At 36.0% G+C, this 24,971-nt stretch overlaps 1 long non-coding RNA gene across 1 annotated transcript in view, besides 1 other annotated feature; it reads left to right on the forward strand.

The window, feature by feature from the left end:
* Nucleotides 1–24,971, forward strand: part of LOC107986324 (uncharacterized) — a 487,144-nt gene that overhangs the window by 430,029 nt on the left and 32,144 nt on the right. The gene's annotated exons all lie outside the window — the stretch shown is intronic.
* Nucleotides 6,417–7,199: an enhancer, noted in NCBI's record as "OCT4-NANOG-H3K27ac-H3K4me1 hESC enhancer chr4:160897920-160898702 (GRCh37/hg19 assembly coordinates)". NCBI's record gives its function as "activates a minimal SCP1, AML or CMV promoter by ChIP-STARR-seq in naive and primed H9 embryonic stem cells {active_cell/tissue: H9 hESC(naive and primed)}" and the evidence as "EXISTENCE:reporter gene assay evidence [ECO:0000049][PMID:30033119]".

Genomic DNA, 24,971 nt, shown 5'->3' on the forward strand with positions numbered 1-24,971 from the left:
TGACCACACTGTTCATCATGTAATTTCTCTATCAACTGTTTTCTATTTATTACTCTGAACCCTGCAGTTTGATGTTGTAATTTCTGCTCCTCAATCTTATCTTAATATTTCCTTGATTTGGACATCCATCTATTCAACAAATATTTATTGACCGTCTACCATGAACCAGGGCTTGCTCTAGGTTGTGGTATATAGAACAGTGGACAAAATACTCAGAACTCTCTCACTTCACAGGGATTATATTGTGGTAACAAGACTCAGGAAATGAAAAAAATTTAACTGTGTTAGTAATAAACGATAGAGAATAAAATAATTCAGGGAAGAGGTATGAATAGTACTGGGGTGTGTGTGTGTGTGTGTGCATGTGCATGCATGCGTGCATGTTTTGGGGATGGTGATGTCAATATTAAATAGTGTAGAGAAGGCTTTAAATGAAATTGTTACATTTAAGAGACTCGTAGAAGTTGATCACTCTGACATTTCTCCAGGCCTTCTTCATTTCTTTTTTCTGTCTTCCATTCCTTTTTAAATCTATTTCTTCTTCATACATACCACTGTCTAGAATAATCTCTCTCATATATATGGGTGTTTGTGTGCATGTGCATTGCGTGTGTGTGTGCATGTGTGTGTATAATCTTGTTTTCTAATCCCATTAGAACATAACCTCCATGAAGAAAGAGATTTTTGAATGTTTTGTTCAGTGTTTTATCCCCAGATCCTAAAAAGTTCTTATGTCATAAAGAAGTGATAAATAAACATAATTAAATGAGAGATTGAATGAGTGGATGAAAAAGAACATTTAAGGGAGAGGAAACAGCACATGCAAAGGCCATGCTGTGAGAGTGTATCTGGTGAATAAAATGAGCAATCAAAAAGTCAGTGTAGCTGGAATGGAGTGAGATGGGAAACAACAGTAGAAGATGAAAGTAGAAAGGTAATGGAGTAGGGCACGGGTGACAACCAATATAGGGCCCTTAGGTCACTGTAATTACTTTGACTCCTACTTTGAGTGAGATGGAAAGCTAATTGGATGGGTCATATTAGTGGCAAGACCTCACTTTTGTTTTTACAGGGTCACTCTGACCATTGTGTTGAGAATTGATTGAAAAGCCAAGAATGGAAGCAGAGGGACCAGTTAGGAGTTTATTGTAAAAATGGCCTTCCCAGTATTTATTATTGTCCAATCTCTGTAAGTGTAACTGCCTTATTGTCTAGAGTGTTGTTTCTTCTCTTAAGTTCACAGCATGGAGAAATAAAAGCAAATATAAAGTGTCATTATAAATAAATTAAAGCAGAGAGAGAAAGATCCTGAAAATTATGTGAGTTGGCTTAAATCATGTACATGGAAGCAAACAGTGTATATCTACCCTTAATAAGCCAAGGTTTTACAATTTCAGTTAATGTAAATGAGAATAAAAGAAACACTTTAAATAATATAAAAATCTCCTGGCATAGAAGCTTTTAAATATATACCTTTGAATATAGGAAAAAAAGTTCATTCAATTATGTTTAAATGACAGTATAGTGTTTTCTAATCCTGACACAAAATAAATTCTCTGGACAGTTAAATTTAAAATGAGGCTCTAACATGTAGTCAAGACATTTCTTACTATAAATCAAATAATTTAGTCATAGAACTACACTAGAAAATTAGTTTACTCATAATTCTGGCACATAATTTTTTATCTTAAATCTCCATTTAAATGAAATAAATTACGAGTAGTCAAAAGCTTGACTGTGACTGCAATGAGGATGCCAACAATCAATTCTATGTCAATAGGTTTGAAGAGCCTTAACACTCTATGATAATAGGTTTGATAAAAGGGCTTTGGAAAAACTCTATGTCAGAGACATATTATTTCTTTCCCTGATACACACACAAACACACACACACACAGACTCACACTCACTTACCAATCCCCAAAGATCACTGACAAATATTCTAAAAGACATGAAATAGTGAACTCTATTCTTTCATCTTGTATTTATATATCTGTTTGTATTTATTTGAAGGTATTTTAATTGTGTACTTCTAAAATGTTTTGTATTAACATACAAAACTTAGTGGTATACCACATGTGTTTGGCTGTTCCCATATTGCTATAAAGAAATACCTGAGACTGTGCTGGGCAACAGGGACCTGGGCCTGGCCCATGAAACCATTCTTTCCTCCTAGGCCTTTGGCCTGTGATGGGAGGGGCTTCCCTGAAGATCTCTGAAATGTCTTCAAGGCCTTTTTCCCCATTGTCTTGGCTATTAGCACTTGGCTTTTTAGTTATGTAAATCTCTCTATCAAGTGGTTGCTCCTCAGCCCACTTGGATTCTTCCCCTGAAAAATGGGCTCTTCTTTTCTACCACGTGGCCATGTTACAAAGTATCAAAACTTTCACACTTTGCTTTTCCTTTAAATATAAATTCCAACTTTAAGTCATTTCTTTGCTCGTGCGTCTGAGTAAAAACTGTTGGAAGCAGCTATATCACTTCTTGAACATTTTGCCACTTAGAATTTCCTCTGCCAGACACATTAGGTTGTGAGTCAGAAGTTCAAACTTCCACAGATTCCCTAGGGTCTGGACCCAGTACAGCCAAGTTTTTTGCTAAGGCATAACAAGGATGACCTTTGCTCTAGTTTCCAAAAAATTTCTTATTTGCATTTGATACCTTGTCAGTCTGGACTTCACTGTCCATATCACTATCAGCATTTTGGTCACAATCATTTAGCCAGTATGTAAGAAATTCCAAACTTTCCCTCATCTTCCTGTCTTCTTCTGAGCCCTCAAAACTCTTCCAACCTCTGTCTGCTACCCAGTTCCAAAGTTGCTTTCACATTTTTAAGTGCCTTTATAGCAACACCCCACTCCTTGATATCAATTTTCTGTGTTATGCCATTCTTGCATTGCTAAATGCAATAGAAATACCTGAGACTGGGTAATTTATAAAGAAAAATGTTTTAGCTGGCTCATGATTCTGCAGGCAGTACAGAAAACATGGCACTGAGCATCTGTTTGGCTTCTTGTGAGACCTCAGGAAGCTTATAATTATGGCAGAAGGCAAAGGGGGAGCCAGCCTATCACATAGTAAGAGCAGGAATAATTTGATGTTGGAGGAGGTGCCACACAATTTTCAACAACTAGGCCTCATGAGAACTCGCTACTGCAAAGACAGGACCAAGGGAATGGTGCTAGACTATTCATGAGAAATCTGCCCCCGTGATCTAATCACCTCCCCCCAGACCCCACCTGCAACATTGGGGAGTACAATTCAAAATGCAATTTAGAGGGGACAACATCCATACTATACAACCATACCTACAGCTTCTGTCTCTTGGCTTGAACGTGAGACTTAATTAAGCAAGTTTTGTGAAATTAATTTGAATCTGCATTTGCAATGGACCATACACTAATAAACTTCTCATTTCTGGGCTTAATAATTTTTTTTTAAAAAACACATTTTTTTCACAAGAAAGAAGATGAAAATTGTTTGCTTTATAGCATATGTAAATTATCATAGTTTGAATTATTTCCATTCCTTAGCCATTGGTTTAGAAATAGTAACATCATTCTGGATTTAAATGAATGAAACTCCTGGGGTGAGATTTCATTATCATTAAATAGTTAAAGGAAGATTTTTAGGTGGAAGACTTTGTTAATTTGTTTATATTTTGATATACAATTTGCAAGGTCTGCTGTAATAAAGTACCACAAATTGGGTGACTTAAACTGTAAAATTTATTGTATCACAGTTCTGCAGGCTGGAAGTCTGAAATAAAGGTGTCAGTAGGGTTGGTTCCTTCTGAGAGCTGTGTGCAGTAATCTGTTCCAAGAATCTCTTTCTCACCACTACCCCAATTTATGGTGGTTTGCTGGCAATCTCTGGAATTATTTGGCTTGTAAAAGTACCCTAATCTCTGTACTCATCTTCACATGGCATTCTCCCTATAGCATGTCTGTCTCTGTGTCCAAATTACCCCTTTTTTTAAAGACACTAGTCATATTGGATTAGCACCCACCCTAATGAGCACTAAACATTTTCAGTAGAATTGTTTACTTAGCAAATTGTTTACTTACAGATGTTAAGTTCTCTCACGTTTCTTGTAAAATTCAATGCTTCTTTTGTGGCAGGTTGAATTTCAATTATGCATTCATCTCTTGAGTCAGTTCTAACACTTTAAATGCTTCAACGTTCCTTATATTCAGCAACTCATTTTTTAAGGGGGCATTGCTATGGTAGTTGGCTATCTTACTTGTATAAAAATATACAATAAATATATGTGTATATTTAATATTTGGAGGTACATCTAGGAATGGCTTGAGGTACATCACTGAACCCCTGCTATAGCATTCGTGGGTGAATGTATAGGTTTCAGAAAGATACCTGCAAATGCGTACGTCCAAGGTACAGAACCCCAAATGTAGGATTACTTCCTTCCTTCCCTCTTTTTTGAGTGGAGAATTAAAACTGACCCCACACTCCAAGGGAAAGACAGGCTCTTCTGGAGCCATGGTAACAAATAACTGCCAGAAACAGTTTAAATGCATTTAGTTAATCACTACCAATTCTTCTCAGTGAATATGCTTCTGAAAGTCAACAAATCATTGATAGTCCATGCTTTGGAAAGCCAGGCAATCAGAAACATACTTCCTTCAATAAACATGGCAGCCAATTAACAAGTATCTCAATCCGACAACCATGCTTCCATATAGGGTAAAAGCCCACTTAAGCCTTAGGAATTTTAAACATTAGTGCACTTTGTGTTTCCCAAAACCCTGAATAAGATCAGCAGTCTTCTCTGCTCAAAGAACATTGTGCCTGAGGGGTCTAGCTCTGTCTCAATATGCTAAGTAACTAATTGAGCTTTGTCTTTTGTTAAATATTAAGTAATATTTTCACCATTCTTTAACAGATTGAACTGAACTACTGTCAGTCAATAAGTGGTAGTTCATGTTATAATTGAGGTAATGCAAAGGATCAGATTGTCAAGCTGTACTCGACAGAAATCAAAGATATTACCCAATAGTAAATTTACTGACAATTGCAAGGATACAAGTAATCCCGAGGTACAGATAAAGAAGGGAGATATCCTGTCAATGCAGATTTCTAGTCCCTTTCTCTCCTTAGCTTAGCATGTGATGTCTCTAAGTAATACACATGGGATACAATATTTACACAGAAGAGAGCCTCTTCTGTCATGAAACATTTCCATTTTATATACAGATAGTTACTTTGCACATAAAATATTTTCCAGGAAACCATTATCCATACATGCTAGATTTGTTTACTATAAAGAATTCTAGAGAACTGAGCATTCACAGGTAAGAACCTTTCCTCGAGCAAGTAAAAATTACTTTGTGGGTGTGTCCTCCTACTACAATGTCACCAATCACCAGGAAAAACAAAAAGGATTGTAGACCTGCTGCTCAATCCTTTTCTTGAAAATTATTATTGAATATTAATAACATTTTAGAATAATAATAAAATGGTAAAATGAAACATTTTCTTTTAAAAGTAGAGTTTTTTTTTAGCCCTTGTTATTAAAATTAGTATTTAGAGATAACTTTCCTAAAATAAAAGCAAACATTATGGAATAATGGGACACTGAGACAACTTCTGATTCCCCTGACAGTATTTAAACCAAAATGGGAAATAGAGTCTGTTGATAATATTACAGCACTAAACACCCTAAAACTTAAGCTAAATAGTGAATATGACGCATGTTTTAAAAATGTTCTTCGATATACTATTTAGAAGAAAAATCAGTTAAACCTGATTCTTTATCCTTAATCAAAACTCGCCATTGCCCGATCTCATAAGAACACATTGCATTATGTCCTATACCTGATCATGGAGTTACTCAGATTTATCTGAATTAGGTCACCCAAGACCAGAGAATGAATAAAAATGGATTCCCACATCACAGATGCCAAGTGTGGTAGCTCATTTTCAAGATGGCTGCCAACAATTTCTTCTCTCTAAGTACATTCTGCTTCTTAAATCTGTAGGAGGCCTAATTTTCACTTCCTCTCATGAATCTGGGATGGGACTTCTGACACTAAGTCATAAGAAACCTTATTATAGTTTCTCCCTGATCCTCTTGGAATTTTTGCTTTTGAGTTGCTCCCTCTGGAAGCCCAGATATTGAAGGGGTGGCCTGCCCCTCCACACCTGTGGGTGTTTCTCGTCAGGTCAGACGAGAGACTGAGAAAAGAAAGAGACACAGAGACAAAGTATAGAGAAAGAAAAGTGGGCCCAGGGGACCCACGCTCAGCATATGGAAGACCCATGCAGGCACCGGTCTATGAGTTCCCTCAATATTTATTGATCATTATCTCTACCATCTCAGAGAGGGGGATGTGGCAGGACAATAGGGTAATAGTGGGGAGAGGGTCAGCAGGAAAACATGTGAACAAATGTCTCTGTGTCAAAAACAAGGTTAGAAAAGGTGCTGTGCTTTGATGTGTACACACATAAACATCTCTGGTGCATTAAAGAGCAGTATTGCCGCCAGCCTGTCTCACCTCCAGCCTTAAGGCGGTTTTCTCCTATCTTAGTAGATGGAACATACAATTGGGTTTTACACCGAGACATTCCATTGCCCAGGGATGAGCAAGAGACAGATGCCTTCCTCTTATCTCAACTGCAAAGAGGCCTTCCTCTTTTACTAATCCTCCTCTGCACAGACCCTTTAAGGGTGTCAGGCTGGGGGACCGTCAGGTCTTTCCCTTCCCACGAGGCCATATCTCAGACTATCACAGGGGGGAAGCCTTGGACAATACCTGGCTTTCCTAGGCAGAAGTCCCTGTGGCCTTCCGCAGTGTATTGTGTCCCTGGGTACTTGAGATTAGAGAGTGGTGATGACTTTTAACAAGCATACTGCCTTCAAGCATTTGTTTAACAAAGCACATCCTGCATGGCCCTAAATCCATTAAACCTTGAGTCAACACAGCACAAGTCTCTGCGAGCACAGGGTTGGGGGTAGGGTTACAGATTAACAGCATCTCAAGGCAGAATTTTTCTTAGTACAGAACAAAATGGAGTCTCTTATGTCTACTTCTTTCTACATAGACACAGTAACAGTCTGATCTCTCTTTCTTTTCCCCACAAGATATCATGGTGTGAGAAGTCCAAATTACACGGATAGTCCATGTACAGGTGCTCTAGGTGACAGCCTGTTATTAGTCTGCTCAGGATTGCATAACAAAATACCATAGACTAGTTGGCTTAAATAAAATAAATTTATTTTCTCATAGTTCTGGAGGCTGGAAATCTGAGATCAAGGTGCCTGTATGGTTGGGTTCTGTTGAAAGCTCTCTTCCTGGCTTGCAAAGGCCACCTCTCACTGTGTCTTCACCTTGCAGGGAGAGAGAGAGAGAGGAAAGAGAGAGAAAGAGAGGAAAGAGAGAGAGAGGAAAGAGAGAGAAAGAGAGGAAAGAGAGAGAGAGGAAAGAGAGAGAAAGAGAGGAAAGAGAGAGAGAGGAAAGAGAGAAAGGAGAGAGAGAGAGAGAGAAGAGAGAGGGAGAGGAAAGAGAGAGAGAGGAAAAAGAGAGGGAGAGTGTTAGATATGAGTTCTAAATTTCTTTTCAAAGAATCAATATGTCAGTATGTTCAATTCTTCGCCTTCTACTTTTAAACTTCCTCATAAAGCAACCTTTTTTGATTACCTGCTCCACCCTGACTCATTTCAATCATCTACTCCACCCTGACTCATTCCTGTTACCTTCTGCACCCTAACTCATTCCGATTATCTGCTATGTGCTCCACCCTGACTCATTCTCCACCCTGCATAAGCATTTTTCCCGCCAAACCACTCACCCCGTCACTCTCTTTAAATTAGCCAGTCGGAATTAGTTTAGCCTGTGTGGTCTAACGCTAGCCAATAGGGGAACGACACAGCAGCAGGGCCCACATGCGTCAGGGTAAGAACCTCTTTCCCTCCCTTGTCCAAGTGTGCGCTCACCATTGCTTCATCTGTAAGGGCACACACTTCTATAGAAGTACCTTGCCTTGCTGAGACTTGCAGCACTGAAACTTTATTTATAACAGAAAGAGAAAGAAAGAAAGCACTCAGGTGTCACTTCTGGGGGTAATGATCCCATACTACCCAGGGCCCTACCCTCATGAAATCATCTAAGTATAATGATCTCCCAAAGCATCCATCTCCAAATACCATCATGTTGGTGGTTAGGGCTTCCATACATATACTTTGGGGGACACAAACATTCAATCCATAACACAGGCCTCAATGAGTTTCCATCTCATAGATAGCATTAATTTCCATTATGGGAATAAGCAATCTTTAACATTCAGCCCAGTCAGATTTCAGATGACTGTAGCCCCAGCAAGCATTTAACCACAACTGCATAATAAATTCCAAGCTAGAACCACTCAACCAACTGGAGTCAATATACAGAACCAGGAGTAATAATAAATTGCTTTATGACACCAAGTCTTGAGCTGGTTTATTATGCAACAAAAGCTAATCTGAATAGAAATTAGCACCAGAAGTTGAAGTGTTACCATAACAAAAACTATAACGTGGCATTGTTTTGGGACCAGTAGGAGAGCAGTAGTTGAGAGTGTCTTAGGAGACTCAGTGAAGGCTGATGACGGCGAGATTTTGTAACTGAAGTCTGGAGAAAAGAGAGGATGCCCATTATGTAGTGGCCTGAAAGTCTGGCAAAACTATTGACTGCAGTAATGTTGCAAAAATAAAATTATGCCTAACAAAATGCCATAGTTGGTTAAGAAAATTGCTAAGCAGAAGGTTGAAAATGTCAATTTTTTTTAAAGCCACCTATGATAAGTTATGGATATAGAGAAATAATAAAAAAGGAACTACTCATCAATCAAGCAGAATTTAGAGAAATATAATAAAGTTGCTACTTCCTAGGTTCAAAAAAACCTATTATCCCCCAAATATCAAAAGAATATAATTAAAAAGACACAAACTGAGAAATGACTCTATTCTTTATTTCTCTTATCCTATATTATTTTCATGATTCATCTTTTCAATCCATGATTTCTAGTACTTTAAACTTCTAAGCACTTTTGTCAAGCAAAACTGGCTTTTTAAAAAAATCATCTCTGCCCTGTGTCATTTTTAATTAGAATGGAAGGTATATTTTGAAAACATTATTAGAAATGTAATGTACAAACTAATTAGGGGTAAGGATTAGTGAGCATGTCTGGATTGTACCAACCCTACACATTCCAAAGAAAGTTTTGGCCCTTGACCAGCTCCTGGGAAATAACTTCTAAGCCCTTGGAATATCTGGCTTGATGAGGATGTCTTTGTGCCTTGGTCCATCCTTGCACTGCTATAAAAAAATACCTGAGACTGGGTAATTTACAAAACAGAGATTTAATTAGCTCACGGTTCTGCAGGCTATATAGAAAGCATGGCTGGAGGGTCCTCAAGGAGCTTTTACTCATGTCAGAAGGCAAAGCCAGAGCAGGCATCTTCACATGGAGCAGGAGGAACAGAGAGAGGGGGATGTGCTACACACTTTTAAGTGATCAGATCTCTTGAGAACTCTATCACAACTATAGTACCAAAAGGGGGAAACTCATTTCCATGACTAAATCACCTCCTACCAGGCCCCATCTCCAACACTAGGGATTAAAATTCAACATAAGATTTGGGTGTGGATACAGACTCAAACCATATCAGTGTGTTACCTGGAGTCTTGGGCCATGCCAGATAGTTTATGCTAACAATGTGCTTTTTGGTAGGGAGTTTTTGGCCATATGGTATCAGTTTGACTTCTAGAGGAGCTGGAGACTGAATAAGGCCAGTCACAGATGACCTAAATTTGATGACCTCCTGGTGACCTAAAGTTGTTACTTTATAGTGGTTAAAAAGTCACCAAAATTTTCTGGCCTCGGTTTCATTATTTATACAATGGGATAATGATAGATCCTCTACCTAGGTCATAAAGTTGTCACAAAAGCCAAAATATAATATTGGTAAAAATACACTGCAAGTTATGTGGTTTCAAATTCTATAACCACTGCTACCACTACCTGCCTTACAACCAGTATATATTATTTCTGTACAACTGTATTATTACTGTAAAACTGTAAAACTGAGGTCGAAAAGGCCAAGGGATTGAGACAGTCTTGCTTTAGCTAAAATCACATTAAAAAGTAATCTTCAGGCTTTTTTCCTCAAAATGATGTTAGGAAAATAATATTAATTAAAGAAGCTATTAGCATTAGCCATATTCTTAAACAAAATATATAGCCACCATTTTTTCTTTTTTGAGAGGGAGAAATATCTTCTACTAGAAGGTGCTGAATATAGTTTGTTTGTTTGTTTTATATTAACCACAATACATAATGAAAATATGAATAAAATTCTCTCCTTAGGGCCAAATTCTTCTTTCTTGAGCAAGAGAGAAAACCTAAAGACAAGCTATTTTGTTGTAGATTGTCAAAAAAAAAAAAAAAAAGAGAGGCATTACAAACAACTGGAATTATTCAAGGAATCATGGAAAATAGGGACTGTCTAAATGAAAAAAAAAATCACCTCATTGCTCTTTACACTTCATTTGAGGATTTTATGCACTGTTAATTTATTCATTGAGTTCTGGTTCTAAATGCTCCAGTGGAATCAAGACTGCTTTTCTCAAGGGGCAGGGAAAATGCCATAGGGTTTTCAAATCAGAATTCGTGTTAATAATTCTAAAGCAAAGGCTTCTCTGCTGAAACAGAAAGATTAACTCTGCACGTATTCCTGTCCCTCACCTTTTAATTTTTTTTTTTTTTTTGGCATTAACACAAAATGTGTTTTGTTGACTCATGGTGTGCCATATTAGTTAAATTAAACATCAAACATCTGTCTAACTTTAAGATTCCAACATGAGTATGTTGGCAGTCTCAGTAAAACTGGGGCTGTTAAAGGCCTTCAATCAGTCAAAGGGATAGAGCTGCAGTAATGGCAAACTCAGCAAGCAATTACATCAAAGGATTTAAACTCTATTTCAGTAATGCCTTCTGGATAATGACATTGATCTCAGCACTCCCCTTGCAGATTTCCTGGTATTGCAAAGCAGGATTCTGCATAGTTTCGCATTTAGAAAAACACCATTCACCATTTCTTTTTATGTGAACATAGTTCAATTCTCTTGAATACACCTACACAGCTATTTCTATAAAGCTAATAGACTTTTATTCATAAAGCCAAAATTCATGCTATGTACACAATCCTTTCTTTGTTCTTTTCTGTCACACCAATTTTGCCAAAGTGGTAGAAGTAATGAGAAGATTATGCTACCTTTTACACTCATACTATTTTTACCTTAACACAAGCAGTATAAACAGATCAATCAATCAATCAATCAATCAATGTTTTGCTCTTTCTCTTTGTATTTTAACCTTCACTCAGTTTGCTTATCTTTAGGGGTTGATATGCATAAATGAAATTATTGTAGATGAGAATGTTTTACATTAAAAGGATTTTTGTAAACCTAAACCCTCCCTCCCTTCTTTCCTTCTTCTGTTTTTTTGCAGTCTCGGGGGTTGAGGTGTCGGGGGACATATTGGTTTAGGGAGATTTGTGAACTATCTGTAGATCACTTGAGTGGGTTTTAATGCTGGCTAAGTAGTTTTTAAGCAGTTGTTCTAGTGAAGGAATAGCTAGATGTAACTTCATCCTTAAACGTAGGTGCTATAAAGCAACTCTCCAGTTTATCAAAGTTATGTGTGGTTTCCTGCTTTAAAAGAAGTAAAAATTCAAATCTAATGCTACACAGAGACTACATTTTTTTAAATTTTTATATATTTAAGGGGTACAAGTGCATATTTCTTACATGCTCGTATTGTATAGTGGTGAAGTCTGGCCTTTTAGTGTACCCCTCAGCAGAACAGTGAACATTCTACCAAACAAGTAATTTTTCAACCTTCACCCTCCTCCCACCCTCCCACCTTTTGTAGCCTCTAATGTCTATTATTCCCCTCTGTAGGCACATGTGTACCAATTGTTTAGCTCTCACTTATAAGCAAGAATATGTGGTATTTGACTTTCTTTTTCTGAGTGATGGCACTTAGGATAATGGCCTCCAGTTTCATCCATGTTGCTGCAAAAGACATAAATTTATTCATTTTTATGGCTGAGTAGTATTACATACACATATACTATTACATGTGTATGTATATATACACCATTAAATGTGTGTATATATGTATATATATACCATTACATGTATATGTATGTGTGTGTATATATACATATATATATATATACACACACACACCATTACGTGTGTGTAAATATACATTTTCTTTTAAATTAATTTTTTTTTTCAGATGGCGTCTTGCTCTGGCACCCAGGCTGGAGTTCAGTATCACGTTCTTGGCTCACTGCAACTTCCGCCTTCCAGGTTCAAGCAATTCTCCTGCCTCAGCCTCCTCCAGAGAAGCTGGGATTACAGGTGCACGCCACCATGCCCAGCTAATTTTTGTGTTTTTAGTAGAGATGGGGTTTCACCATGTTGTCCAGGCTGGTCTCGAACTCTTGACCTCAAGTGATCTGCCCTCCTCGGCCCCCACAAAGTGTTGGGATTACATGCATGGGCCACAGTACCCAGCCTATATATACATTTTCTTTATTCAATTCTTTTTTGATGGACATTTAGGTTGATTCCATAACTAGCACTTGTGAATAGTGTTGTGATAAACACATGAGTGCAAGTATCTTTTTAAATAATGATTTCTTTACCTTTGATTTGATACCCAGTAGTGAGATTGCTGAATCAACTGGTAGTTATAATTTAATTCTCTGAGTAATCTCCATGCCATTTTCCATAGAAGTTGTACTAATTTACATTCCCACTAGCACTGTATAAGTGTTTCATATTCTCTTCATCTTCAACAACATCTGTTGTTTTTTGACTTTTTAATAATAGCCATTCTGACTGGTATACAATGGTATTTCATTGTGGTTTTAATTTGCATTTCTCTCACAATTACTCAGGTTGAACATTTTTTTCATATGTTTTTTGGTCACTTGTATGTCTTCTTTTGAAAACTGCCTGTTTGTGTCCTTTGCCCCCTTTTTCATGTTTTTGTTTTGTTTTGTTTTTCTTGTTGAGCTGTTTGAGTTCCTCACAGATTCTGGATATTAGCCATTTATTAGATACAGGGTATGCAAATTTTTTTTCCCATTCTGTAGGTTGTCTGTTTATTCTGGTGACTATTTCTTTTACTGTGCAGAAGCTTCTTAGTTTAATTAAGTTGCATTTGTCTGTTTTTGTTTTTGCTGCATTTGTTTTTGAGGTATTCATATATTCTCTGCCTAGGCCAATGTACAGAAGAGCTTTTCCTAGATTTTCTTCTAAGATTTTTATACTTGCGTGTCTTACATTTAGGTCATTAATCCATCTTGAGTTAATTTTCATATCTGGTGAGAGGTATGGGTCCAGTTTTATTGTTTTGCATGTGAAGATTCAATTTCCCCAGTACCAGGTATTGAAATAAGGTTTCCTTTCCTCAGTGTCTATTTTTGTGACTTTGTCAAAGATCAGTTGGTTGTAATATGTCACTTTATTTCTGGGTTCTTTATTTTATTCCACTGATCTATGTGAGACTACCTGTTTTTGATGTAACATAATAATAGATAATACATGTAATTTTATTATTTGTTATTTATTTGTCTAGTCTTTGAATCTATAACCTACTCTATGCCAGAATCTCTAGTGTATTACTACAAAGCTTGTATTGTTAAAGCTCTTTGTATCATCTTCTAAACTCCTAAAATCTTTTTTATCTTAAACCAAATAAACATTCTTTTGCAAGTATATCCCATAAGATGTTTACCCTATATTACTTTTACAGTGAAACAGTTTGAAATGGTTCTAAAAAAAGGTTTCCATTTGCCACCTCCAATTCATTCCTGTGCCTTGACCTTAGCTACTAGGAGAAAGATGATTAAAGGTGGCTCTGATTCCCCTATACCCAAGGGGAATAAAGTCCATATACAACTCTATGAGTATACTGGGGCAAAGTCACTATGCACCTATTCAAGTGTACTGAGATGTTACCGGGAAATGAGGATACTTAAACTTTTATTACTCTGTTATCTAGCACATTAATAACCAAGTTATATTCTATCTAGTTTAATAGGTGAAAGAGTGCCTAGATTCAACCAATAGGCTGTGGGGAAGGTTTAGAGTGGGAAAGAGAAGCTAGTGCGACCCTATGGGTGCAGCTCTTTGGGCTAAATCAGTGTACTGTTGTTGTTTACACCTCAGAATGTATAGTAGGAAATGAAGTGTTATATACTTATAGTTCCCTGTCCTGTAAGTGTCATAATAGATTATACCAATTTGGAAAACTGTATATAGAAAAGAGCTAATACCCTCAGGGATCTACAGCTCTAATGATGCTTTTGAGGCACAAGTTTCTGTGACTAATGATTTTGCTAGTTAGAGCCACTGGCAAAGGGAATAAATACCTTTCTGGAGGCTCCCTTTGGGGTTTGGAACTTCTTGCCTGCATGACAAAGCTTAGCTATTACCTTGCTATTAGGCTTTTGTCAAAACTGAATGTCTAATCCAGACCTACCTTATAACTCTCTGGTCTGATAATACGTTTTTGGGTGGTTAATTCAGTTGCCATGACTAACAAGGTGGGAAGGGTCTAATAAGTCTGTCTTCTAATGCAGTAACATATTAAAAAATGCAGCTGGCCTGGCCCTAGCAATGTCTCTCTTTTATATGAAAAAGTAGCAGCTATCTCTTCATGGGAACCTTATCCCCAACCTTGCTGTCTGAAGCAAAGCAAGCTGCTATCTCAGTGGGGCCGTTGAATCACAGAAGTTCCCCTAAATGCTAGGCCTAATTCACTGATGATTGAGCAAAGTTGGAAGCTGACAGTATCCTCTGGGTTGTGCAGATATTCAATGTTAACACTAACTATGCAGGATTAAAACCAGTCACGGGCATTTTACTTTGTAGGCAGTATAGAAAGTCATTCTCATAGATTTGGCCAATGCTCCCTTTGATAAACTTCAGTATATTTTTACTGAATCCAGCTCTTTAGTCTGCCACTTGGAAAACTATAAGCGATGAATAAAAAACACCCATTTTGAGGCCATGAACTGTGAAAACAAAGGTTGCTGATTAATTTTCTGGATTACTCATATAAATGCCCATGGTTAAGGCTTGTTTTCTAATGAGACTAACTGCAATCAATCTGTTGATTGATCCTGCGTCACCCAGATTCCCAATGTTGCTACAAAGATTCATCATTGTGCTGAACATGGCAACACTTCCACAATTAAAGTAGAATGGGCACATTACAGTCTGCATAGTTATGATGCAGAGGCTGCCACTGAACTCATACTTGTGACCCCTGATAAAGTTTGACCTAATTGTCTCTCACGGAGAGAGGCTGTATGGCACAGGGCATTGTCTGTGCCAACTTGTGACAGTTTGACTTCATGGATCTTTGACCCCATGCTGGTTATCAGTGATGTCTTGCTGCCATTTTTACTTTTTTTGCTTATTGCTTTGTCCTTGTAGTCTGACCCAAATGACTCTAGTCATACCATCATGGCCTTCGAAACTAACCTATGTTATATTTTCAGATTTCTGGATCATTTGCAATCCGACAATGGATAACTCAAGTAATTAGTGGACTTTCAATGCTCCTTATCATATGATATTGTTAATAGTTGAAATAGCCTCCTTAAAAACTGACTTAAAAAGTTTTCTAACTCTACCTTCTACTTAACAAGGCAGTTTGCTGACTCAATGTGACTATTCTCAGAAAGAAGTTATCTCCTCCTAGCCACTTCTGGATAATGATCAGAATGAAAGGGAAGGGGTTATGTAGATCTATGTTGAAACTTTGGGAATCCCCCCCTGATTATTCCTGGCCATGGTACTTATTTCATTTTCCTAACAGCAACCCCAGGCAACCTAGTTCCTCTGGGTGAAAGCCTGTCCACGAGGGTCTAAATAACTCACATTTGATTCTGGTTCAGACACTAAGATTCTCTTGTTAGATTGGCTTAGTCACAGACCATATGGGTATTGACTATTTGGTTGAATGTATTGCTCGTTGATTCCCCCTGTAGTGGAACATATGGGCCAAAGTGAGAGACATAATTGGTTTCTGCATACTTTCTTCATTAGGTTAAAGAAAGATCACTTTTAGGCTAGAAGATGATCTTCCTTGAACCTAAAGATGATCTTGCATTAAACTGAGATCTAATTAAATGGCTGGATTTGAATGAAAAATGATTGGGAAAAAGTTGTATCGAAAGCTAGGGACTAGGACAGCTGAATTTTGTCATGGCAGAAGGATAACAATCTTAGTGCTAGGAGACCCTTGAAAGCATAGGTAAAGAAAGGACTGTACTTACCTCTGTCTTTCAGAATCACCTCTGGAGCTTCCTCATGAAGGAAGACATCTTGAGGCCAAAACCTCAGTGTTTCTCTCCTTTAATGAGTCTACTGTGTGTGTAGGCAGGCATTCATGCGGGCTCATCTGTGTTGCCCTGTGAGGCTTGTGGGCTAGGATGCAAATATGCTGATGCTCATGTTGCTTACTGGCCATGATTAAGAAAATCCATTGTCTCTTGGCTCAGGCCTGTTTGCCAGCAAACATGAAATTGTGGCAGGCAACCACGTTAGCCTGCAAGAACGGTAAATCTCAGATCTTCTCAGTTTTTGACAGGAGGGATACTTATTTGGAGTTAAGTTCATTCCTTGAGTTTATTATTATTATTACTTTTAAAAAGAAGAAAAATGAAGATAACCAAAGATATACCTTGAGAGTTTTGTTTTAAAAGAATAATATTTTCAAAGAAATCATGAGCATGTAAAATACAAGGACTAAAAAGGATACTTGAATTATGAAGCAGAAGAAAGAATAAGTTTAATAAATAAACTCAAATCTAGTTGAAAGAAACCAACACTCTAGATAATATCTGAAAAGCTGTTATCTACAAGGGTAGAAGTAGGGGAATAATATTTCAAAGAATAAGGGGATCTAATAACTAGAAATTGGGTCTTGGTATAATCACAGGTAAGACTGATTAGATGAGAAATCATGAGGATTAGTCTAGGAATTCTTAAGTATGTTCTAACACAGACAAGATTTGTTGATCACTTGGGAAAGGGAAAGGGCTGACGTTTTGATAATGTCATGGGTTGAGTTCTCTCATATTCTGTGATGATTTAAAGATAGCATGTACTATATTTTAGGTAGACCACTACTTCTTTTTACTTTGTAGTGTGACACAAAAGGGTTCTATGTGCTAGGGAAAACTTTTATAATACTGTGATTTACATTTTATATGTATGAACAATTTCTGGGTACAAATATAAAGAGACTGGCCAAGGATGTCTATCTAAGGAAACACATATGCTTTGCATGATTTTTAGAAGTACTTCTGTATTTAATTTATGCAATTTATAAGGTAGGTGGCTAGATATCACAACGGAGAGTATTTAGTTGATGTAGTATTTACTATTTAGTTGAACTTTAATTCTTACAGCAATTATAAGAACACAAGAAAAAAAAAGATTTATGGAAGGCAAGTTTAGTCTAACCATATGTTGAGGTTTCTAGTGCATTCAAGGCCACTGAGAATGAAATAGTCTGTTATCAGAAAGTAAAAAGAAAATAATTTTAAAATTATGTAAAAAAGCTTCTTATCTTTCACTTCAACACAACTACAGACTAATATAATGATGTTAAATATTGGTAACAGAAAACAAATATCAAGCAAACACAATCTTCTTCCTTAGTCTGCCCTCTCAGTTCTGAGAATAGGAATAATAGCATTCATCTACCACACTGCGTATACAGTTAAAAACTCATAGGGAAAGTATTGATGCAAAAGGATTGAGACAGCTAAAATTAAAGCCCCTGAAAGTTAGACTGCTTCATAGAATGCTAACTGCTGACACAGTTTCAATTAGTGTATATTGTAGATTGAATAATGCTATTTCAAGCATGGACTATAAAAAATTAGCTGAAAATAATGAAAGATAATTTGAATAATGGTAACATCACTATTTCTCATCTAATATTTATATCATATTTATAATTTTATATTCACCCTCATTACCATCAAACAGCACCAGCAAGAATAGAAACTAGCTCCATTGTTTTCCTGTAACGTATCTTCACTGCCAGTTAGAAAAAGAAAGTTCTATTTCAGTAATAAAATTAGAACTCCAATCTTTTATTGGAGAGAGAATACTCATGCTACAAGTTAATAATTTTGTGACTCTCAAAAGTATAGCAGTTGAGTTTTCTTTCTACTATTAGTCTGAATTTTTCTTATAAATACAAGGGAGTTAGGAATGATATTCCCAAATACAGATAAGAGAAATCAAGCTACAAAGGGTCTGTTAACTTTGCATTACCTTTTGCTGGTAGTATGGCCAAATGATATTCATCTTTAGTTTGCGTTTTTTACTAAAATGTGTTGCCAATGAAAAAATTTAAGTTTGGGTTATTTGTGTATTACAGATACATTGTTGTGCAATACTAGCCATAAAATATTGTATTGTTGAAAGTATAGGCTGGGTGCGATGGCTCACGCCTGTAATCCCAGCACTTTGGGAAGCACAGGCAGGTGGATCACTTGAGGTCAGGAGTTTGAGACCAGCGTGGCCAGCATGGCAGAACCCCGTCTCTGCTAAAAATAAAAAAATTAGCCAGGTGTGAAGGTGCATACCTGTAATCCCAGCTAATCGGGAGGCTGAGGCAGGAGAATCGCTTGAACCTGGGAGGTGGAGGCTGCAGTGAATAGAGATCATGCTACTGCACTCCAGCCTGAGTAATAGAGGGAGACTCTTTTTTTTTTAGAGTATATTATTGAAAATATATATAGGAAAATATATTATTGAATATATATGCTTATAAAGCTATGGAATGTGGATGAAATATATATACTCATCAATAATTCTAGTTATTCTTCTCTTGTTTTTGCAAATAATTTGCACTGACAGTTTTTTTTTATTTTGTCATTATACTATATGTGCCCTTTTAGAATTTTCAGTAACACAATATTTTTTTATTTACTGTTATAGCCGTCAGAATCTGGCAAATATGTAATACATGACCAACACTAAAGAAATACAGAAATTAAAAAGAAAATTAAGTTATTACAGGACCCCAATATAGAGACCTAAATACGCACCTATGAAATAACTGCCTGAATATGCTTCTCATAGGGAAAGTGAGATTATGAATATTGTGTCTTAATGGTTCTGCCTCTACTATCTACAAACAGGCACTTCAAAAACATAGCAATATTTTCAAGTATAACAAAAGTCCAGTGTGACTGAGAATTTTGTTATTTATCAGAGGAAGTAATTTATCAGTATTTTCTGCTCTAATGTGTTACTCAGCTGCTCTAATGTGACACTCAACATTCATTTACATACTGTTTTATTATCTTTCTTCTGCATTTTGAGATTGATAAACTATCTTTAATTGCATTTCTTTAAAAAATTTTACTTTGAGCTAATTTAAACTTCAGAAAAATTACAAAAATGACAAAGATGGTAAACAGTGTTTTCAGATTCCCCTCATCCAGCTTCCCCTTAGGCTAACATCTTACATAACCATAGTACAACCATCAAGAACAGAAAATTAACATTGGCACAGTTTTATTAACCAAACTGTAGACATTCAAATTTCACCAAGTTTTCCATTAATGTCCTTTTATATGTTCCAATAGCCTATCCAGCATCCCACACTGTATTTAGTTGTGATTTATTCTTAATTTATTCTATTCTACGAAAGTTTCTCAGTCTTTCCTTCTCTTTTATGATCTTATCACCCTTGAAGAATACTGATTCATTAATTTTTAGATGATCCTTCAATTTGGGTTTGATGTTTACTTATGACTGGATTTCCTTTCTAGTGCATTGTATCAAGGGGTCCATATGTTGATATGTCTCATTACTGGCAATGTTAATCTTGATCATGTGGGTAAGGTGATGTCTGGCAAGGTTTTCTGCTGTAAAACCTACTTACCTTTATAGTCAGTATACATTTTGGAAGATATACTTTCATACTACACAAATCCTGTTTCTCCTCCGTCTTTCACACATTTTAGTACACATAACTGGATCTTCAATTATTACTGTGGTGTTTGCCTAACAGTAGTTTTCTATTTCCCTTTTCTTCTACATTTACTAATTGGAAGTCTACTATAGGGAAGAGCTCTATCAGTGTGGACAGATGGATATTTATTTTATTCCATGGGTTAAAATATAATATTATTAATTACTTTTTTGTTCAAATTATTTCATCTTTGAAGTAATTCCTTCAGGTTGGTCCCTCTGTTCTTTTGACAAGTTCCTATCCTACTTATGCATTTATTTGAGCACTTTCTTTCTTTCTGGTGTAAGAAGATGTTCCCAAGTACACTTAAATCCATGGTTAAAATCACACACTTCTCCAAGAAACTCTGATTCCTTTGATTAGAGAAAGGTAGTTAGAGACCAAGAACTGGGTACTAGTTGTGCTCATTGCTAGAGGGCTGTCAGTGTTTCTAAGTCTCCTCAGCAGAACAAACCATGTATATGTATGCATACTGGCTCATGCATATATATACAACTATATTTCTTTATTTATCTATATGATTACAAATATTTAATAACATAAGTTTATACTCATACCTCTGATTCCAGAACAGTACCACAGGGTTCATTTTAGCCTTTCACATTTCTTATTAGTAGTTTTTATTCTACAACTGTGTTGAAATTTAGTGATGATTTTCTTTTTACACAGTTATTTTGTAGGTTAGATATGTTCTTTCTTCATCTAATTTCATGGATGTGATTTTGTGTACAGTTTATGTTGTCACGAATCTATTTTAAATCATTTGGAGAGAGGAATTTGAGAGGTTGATTACTACAGTCTGAATTGTCTTCAGCCATCCATGAACTAACCCCTTTTTGTTTTATTAACTGAAACAAACATAGAATAGTGAAATCCTATGAAATCAGAAACACTAGGTTTCAGTCAGTCTCTACCGATACCTCTGTAACTCTAAACAACTTTATGTACAATGAAATTAACATCTGTGGGAATCAGTTATATCATCTGAAAATGGAGAACTTAGGCTAACTAATCTTTAAGATTTCTTCCACTGTCTTTTATAGTAACTCAAAAGATTATTGGAAACAATATTGTTAGATCAATTTTGTGCCAAAATCAAATAATGTGGTCTGAGTGGAACATATTGATTAAAAGTATTCTCTGAGTTAATTCTGGGTTCTAACACTTAATAGTTTTGTGATCTTATATTAGTTATATCTCAGTTTCAGTTCTGTCTTCTATATAAGAGGTTTTGTTGTTAAATTCTCTAAATTAAATTTTTTAGTATATGTGGAAAACTTTTAAATGACTAAATCTATCTCTCTAGTAGTTTTAGGTCTATTCATCCTTTCTCTTTTTTATTGTGTCAGTTTTTATAAGTTGTATTTTTCCAAGAATCTGCTGAATCCATTCAAATTTATTCACAGAGTTGTTTATTCTATCATCTTATGATCTTTTTAAGGTGGTAAGAACTTTAGAAAGATCTCTTTTCATTCCAGTATTAGGTGAGCTAAGTTTTCCTTCTCTTGCTTCATCAGTCTTGCTAGAGGTATATCAAATTTGTTAGTTATTTCTAAAAACTTACTTTTAATTTTACTGATCTTTTTATATATCTCTATATTTCATTCTTTCTACTTTTGTGTTTTTGTTGCTATTTCGATAAAAATTTAATATTTAATGATTACTTTTGAATAATTTATTATAATATATGCACCTACATCAATAAATATTCATTGAGGTACTACCTTATAAAGAGAGTACTTTTTTGAATTAAGGCCCACTATGTCTTTTGTTAATATAATATAACTATATGATTGAAGGATTAGTGATTGCATGGTATAGTATTTTCAACCCTTTTACTCTCAATTTACTTGTGTATTCTTATTTTTTATGTGTCTCTTATAAACAGCATATATTATTCTTCTTAAATCAGTCTGAAAATCACTACATTTAGTCCAGTTTATTCTAATGATTTAACTGATAGGTTTAGGTTGAAATTAACATCTTTTTATGAGCTTTCTCTTTTCCTGTATGTTCCATATATTTCTGTCTTTTCTTTTGAGTTGATTTTTAAATGTATTCCATTTATATCCCTTGTTTTTCTATTCCTATTTAGATATCCATAGAAATTGTTTATACATATTCTTGATTTATGAAAGCATTTTCTCTCTTCTTGGACAATGAATGAAATTTATGTCAGGATCTCCACTTAACTCCTGATATACATTTTATTCTGTAATTCTCTAAATATTTTACTATTATAAAATATAATTCTAAGACCATAACACAGTACTATTTTTGTTTTATACAGTCAATGTTTGATTAGGTTAAAGCATATATTTACCATTTTCTTTAAAAATTTATATTTTGTATTAGGTAATCCAGTACCAAATACTCTATTTTAGGGTTTCAAATAATGCTTTTTTTTGAAGTATGCTCAAATAACTTTATTTTACACACTTAATGCTCAGATTGTGAAGTGAAACATCTCTTTGAATAGAAAAAAAAAACAGAAAAGGCTGAAAAGATATAGTGGAACACACTCCAATGGTAGCCTTATAATGCCTAGGTCAAAATAAAATATCTCAGTTAAGACAGTGCATATCCCAACCCTCCCTCCTGCCTGAGTGGAGAGTTCCTTTCTCCTTTCTTTTTTGTTTTATTTTAAGTTCTGGGATACAAATGCAGAACGTGTAGGTTTGTTACATCGGTATACGTGTGCCATGGTGGTTTGCTGCACCTATCAACCAGTCAACTAGGTTTTAAATCCCATATCCATTAGGTATTTGTCCTAATGATCTCCCTCCCCTCTCCCTGCTACTCCCAACTGGCCCTGGTATGTGTTGTTCTCCTCACTGTGTCCATGTGTTCTCATTGTTCAGCTCCCACTAATGAGTGAGAACATGCGGTGTAACATGCAGTGTTTGGTTTTCTGTTCCTGTGTTAGTTTGATGAGGATAATGACTTTCAACTTCCTCTGTGTCCCTGCAAAGGACATAATCACATTCCTTTCTTTGGCTGCATAGTATTTCATGGTGTATATGTATCACATTTTCTTTATCCAGTCTATCATTGTTGGGCATTTGGGTTGCTTCTATGTCTTTGTTATTGTAAATAGTGCTGCAATAAATATATGTGTGCATGTGTCTTTTTAGTAGAATGATTTATGTTCCTTTTGGTATATACCCAGTAATAGAATCGCTGGGTCAAATGGTATTTCTGGTTCTAGATCCTTGAGGAATCACCACACTGTCTTCCACATTGATTGAACTAATTTACATTACCACCAACAGTGTAAAAGCATTCCTATGTCTCCACAGCCTTGCCAGCATCTATTGTTTCTTGACTTTTTATTAATGGCCACTGTGACTGGTGTGAGATGTTATGTCATTGTTGTTTTGATTTGCATTTCTCTGATATCACTGATGTTGAGCTTTTTTCATTGTTTGTTGGCCATATAAATGTTTTCTTTTGAAAACCGTCTGTTTATATCCTTTGCCCACTGTTTGATGGGCTTGCTTGTTTTTTTCTTTTAAATTTGTTTAAGTTCCTTATAGATTCTGAATATTAGACCTTTGTCAGAGGGGTAGATTGCAAAAATCTCCCATTCTGTAGGCTGCCTGATCACTCTGATGAGAGTTTCCTTTGCTGCACAGAAGTTCTTTAGTTTAATTAGATACTATTTGTCAATTTTGGCTTTTCTAGCAATTGCTTTTGGTGTTTTCATAATAAAGCCTTTGCCCATGCCTATGTCCTGAATGGTATTGCCTAGGTTTTCTTCTAGGGTTTTTATAGTTTTGGGTTTTACATTTAAGTCTTTAATCCATCTTTAGTTAATTTTTGTATAAGGTGTAAGGAAGGGGTCTAATTTCAGTTTTCTGCATATGGCTAGCCAGTCTTCCCAGCACCATTTATTAAATAGGAAATCTTTTCTCCATTGCTCGTTTTTGTCTGGTTTGTCAAAGATCAGATGTTTGTAAATGTGTGATGTTATTTCTGAGGTCTCTGTTCTGTTCCATTGTTCTATACGTATATTTTGGTACCAGTACCATGTTGGTTTGGTTGCTGTAGCCTTGTAGCATAGTTTGAAGTCAGGTAGCATGATGCTTGCAGCTTTGTTCTTTTTGGTTATGACTGTCTTGGCTATACATGCTCCTCTTTGGTTCCATATGAAATTTAAAGTAGATTTTTTTCTAATTCTGTGAAGAATGTCAGTGGCAGTTTTATGGGAATAGCATTGAATCTATAAATTACTTTGGGCTATATGGCCATTTTCATGATACTGGTTCTTCTTATCCATGAGGATTGAATGTTTTTCCATTTGTTTTTGTCCTCTCTATTTCCTTGCAGAGTGGTTTGTAGTTCTCCTTGAAGAGGTCCTTCATATCCCTTGTTAGCTGTATTCCTAGGTGTTTTATTCTCTTTATAGCAGTTGTGAATGGGAGTTCATTTATGATTTGGCTCTCTGCTTGTCTATTGTAGGTGTATAGGAATGCTTGTGAATTTTGCACATTGATTTTGTATCCTGAGACTTTGTTGAAGTTGCTTATCAGCTTAAGGAGTTTTTGGGCTGAGATGATGGGGTTTTCTAAATACAGACTTGTGTCTTTTGCAAATAGAGACTATTTGGCTTCCTCTCTTCCTATCTGAATAGGCTTTATTTCTTTCTCTTGCCTGATGGCCCTGGTGAGACCTTCCAATACTATGTTGAATAGGAGTGGTGAGAGAGGGCATCCTTGTCTTGTGCCAGTTTTCAAAGGAAATGCTTCCAGCTTTTGCCCATTCAGTATGATAATCAGCTGTGGATTTTGTCATAAATAGTTATTTTTATTTTGAGATATGTTCCATCAATGGGGTGTTAAACCTAAAACTAGGTAGTTTACTGAAAGTTTTTTACATGAAGA

This window comes from Homo sapiens, chromosome 4 (assembly GCF_000001405.40).
Source record: "Homo sapiens chromosome 4, GRCh38.p14 Primary Assembly".
Classification (NCBI taxonomy): domain Eukaryota; kingdom Metazoa; phylum Chordata; class Mammalia; order Primates; family Hominidae; genus Homo; species Homo sapiens.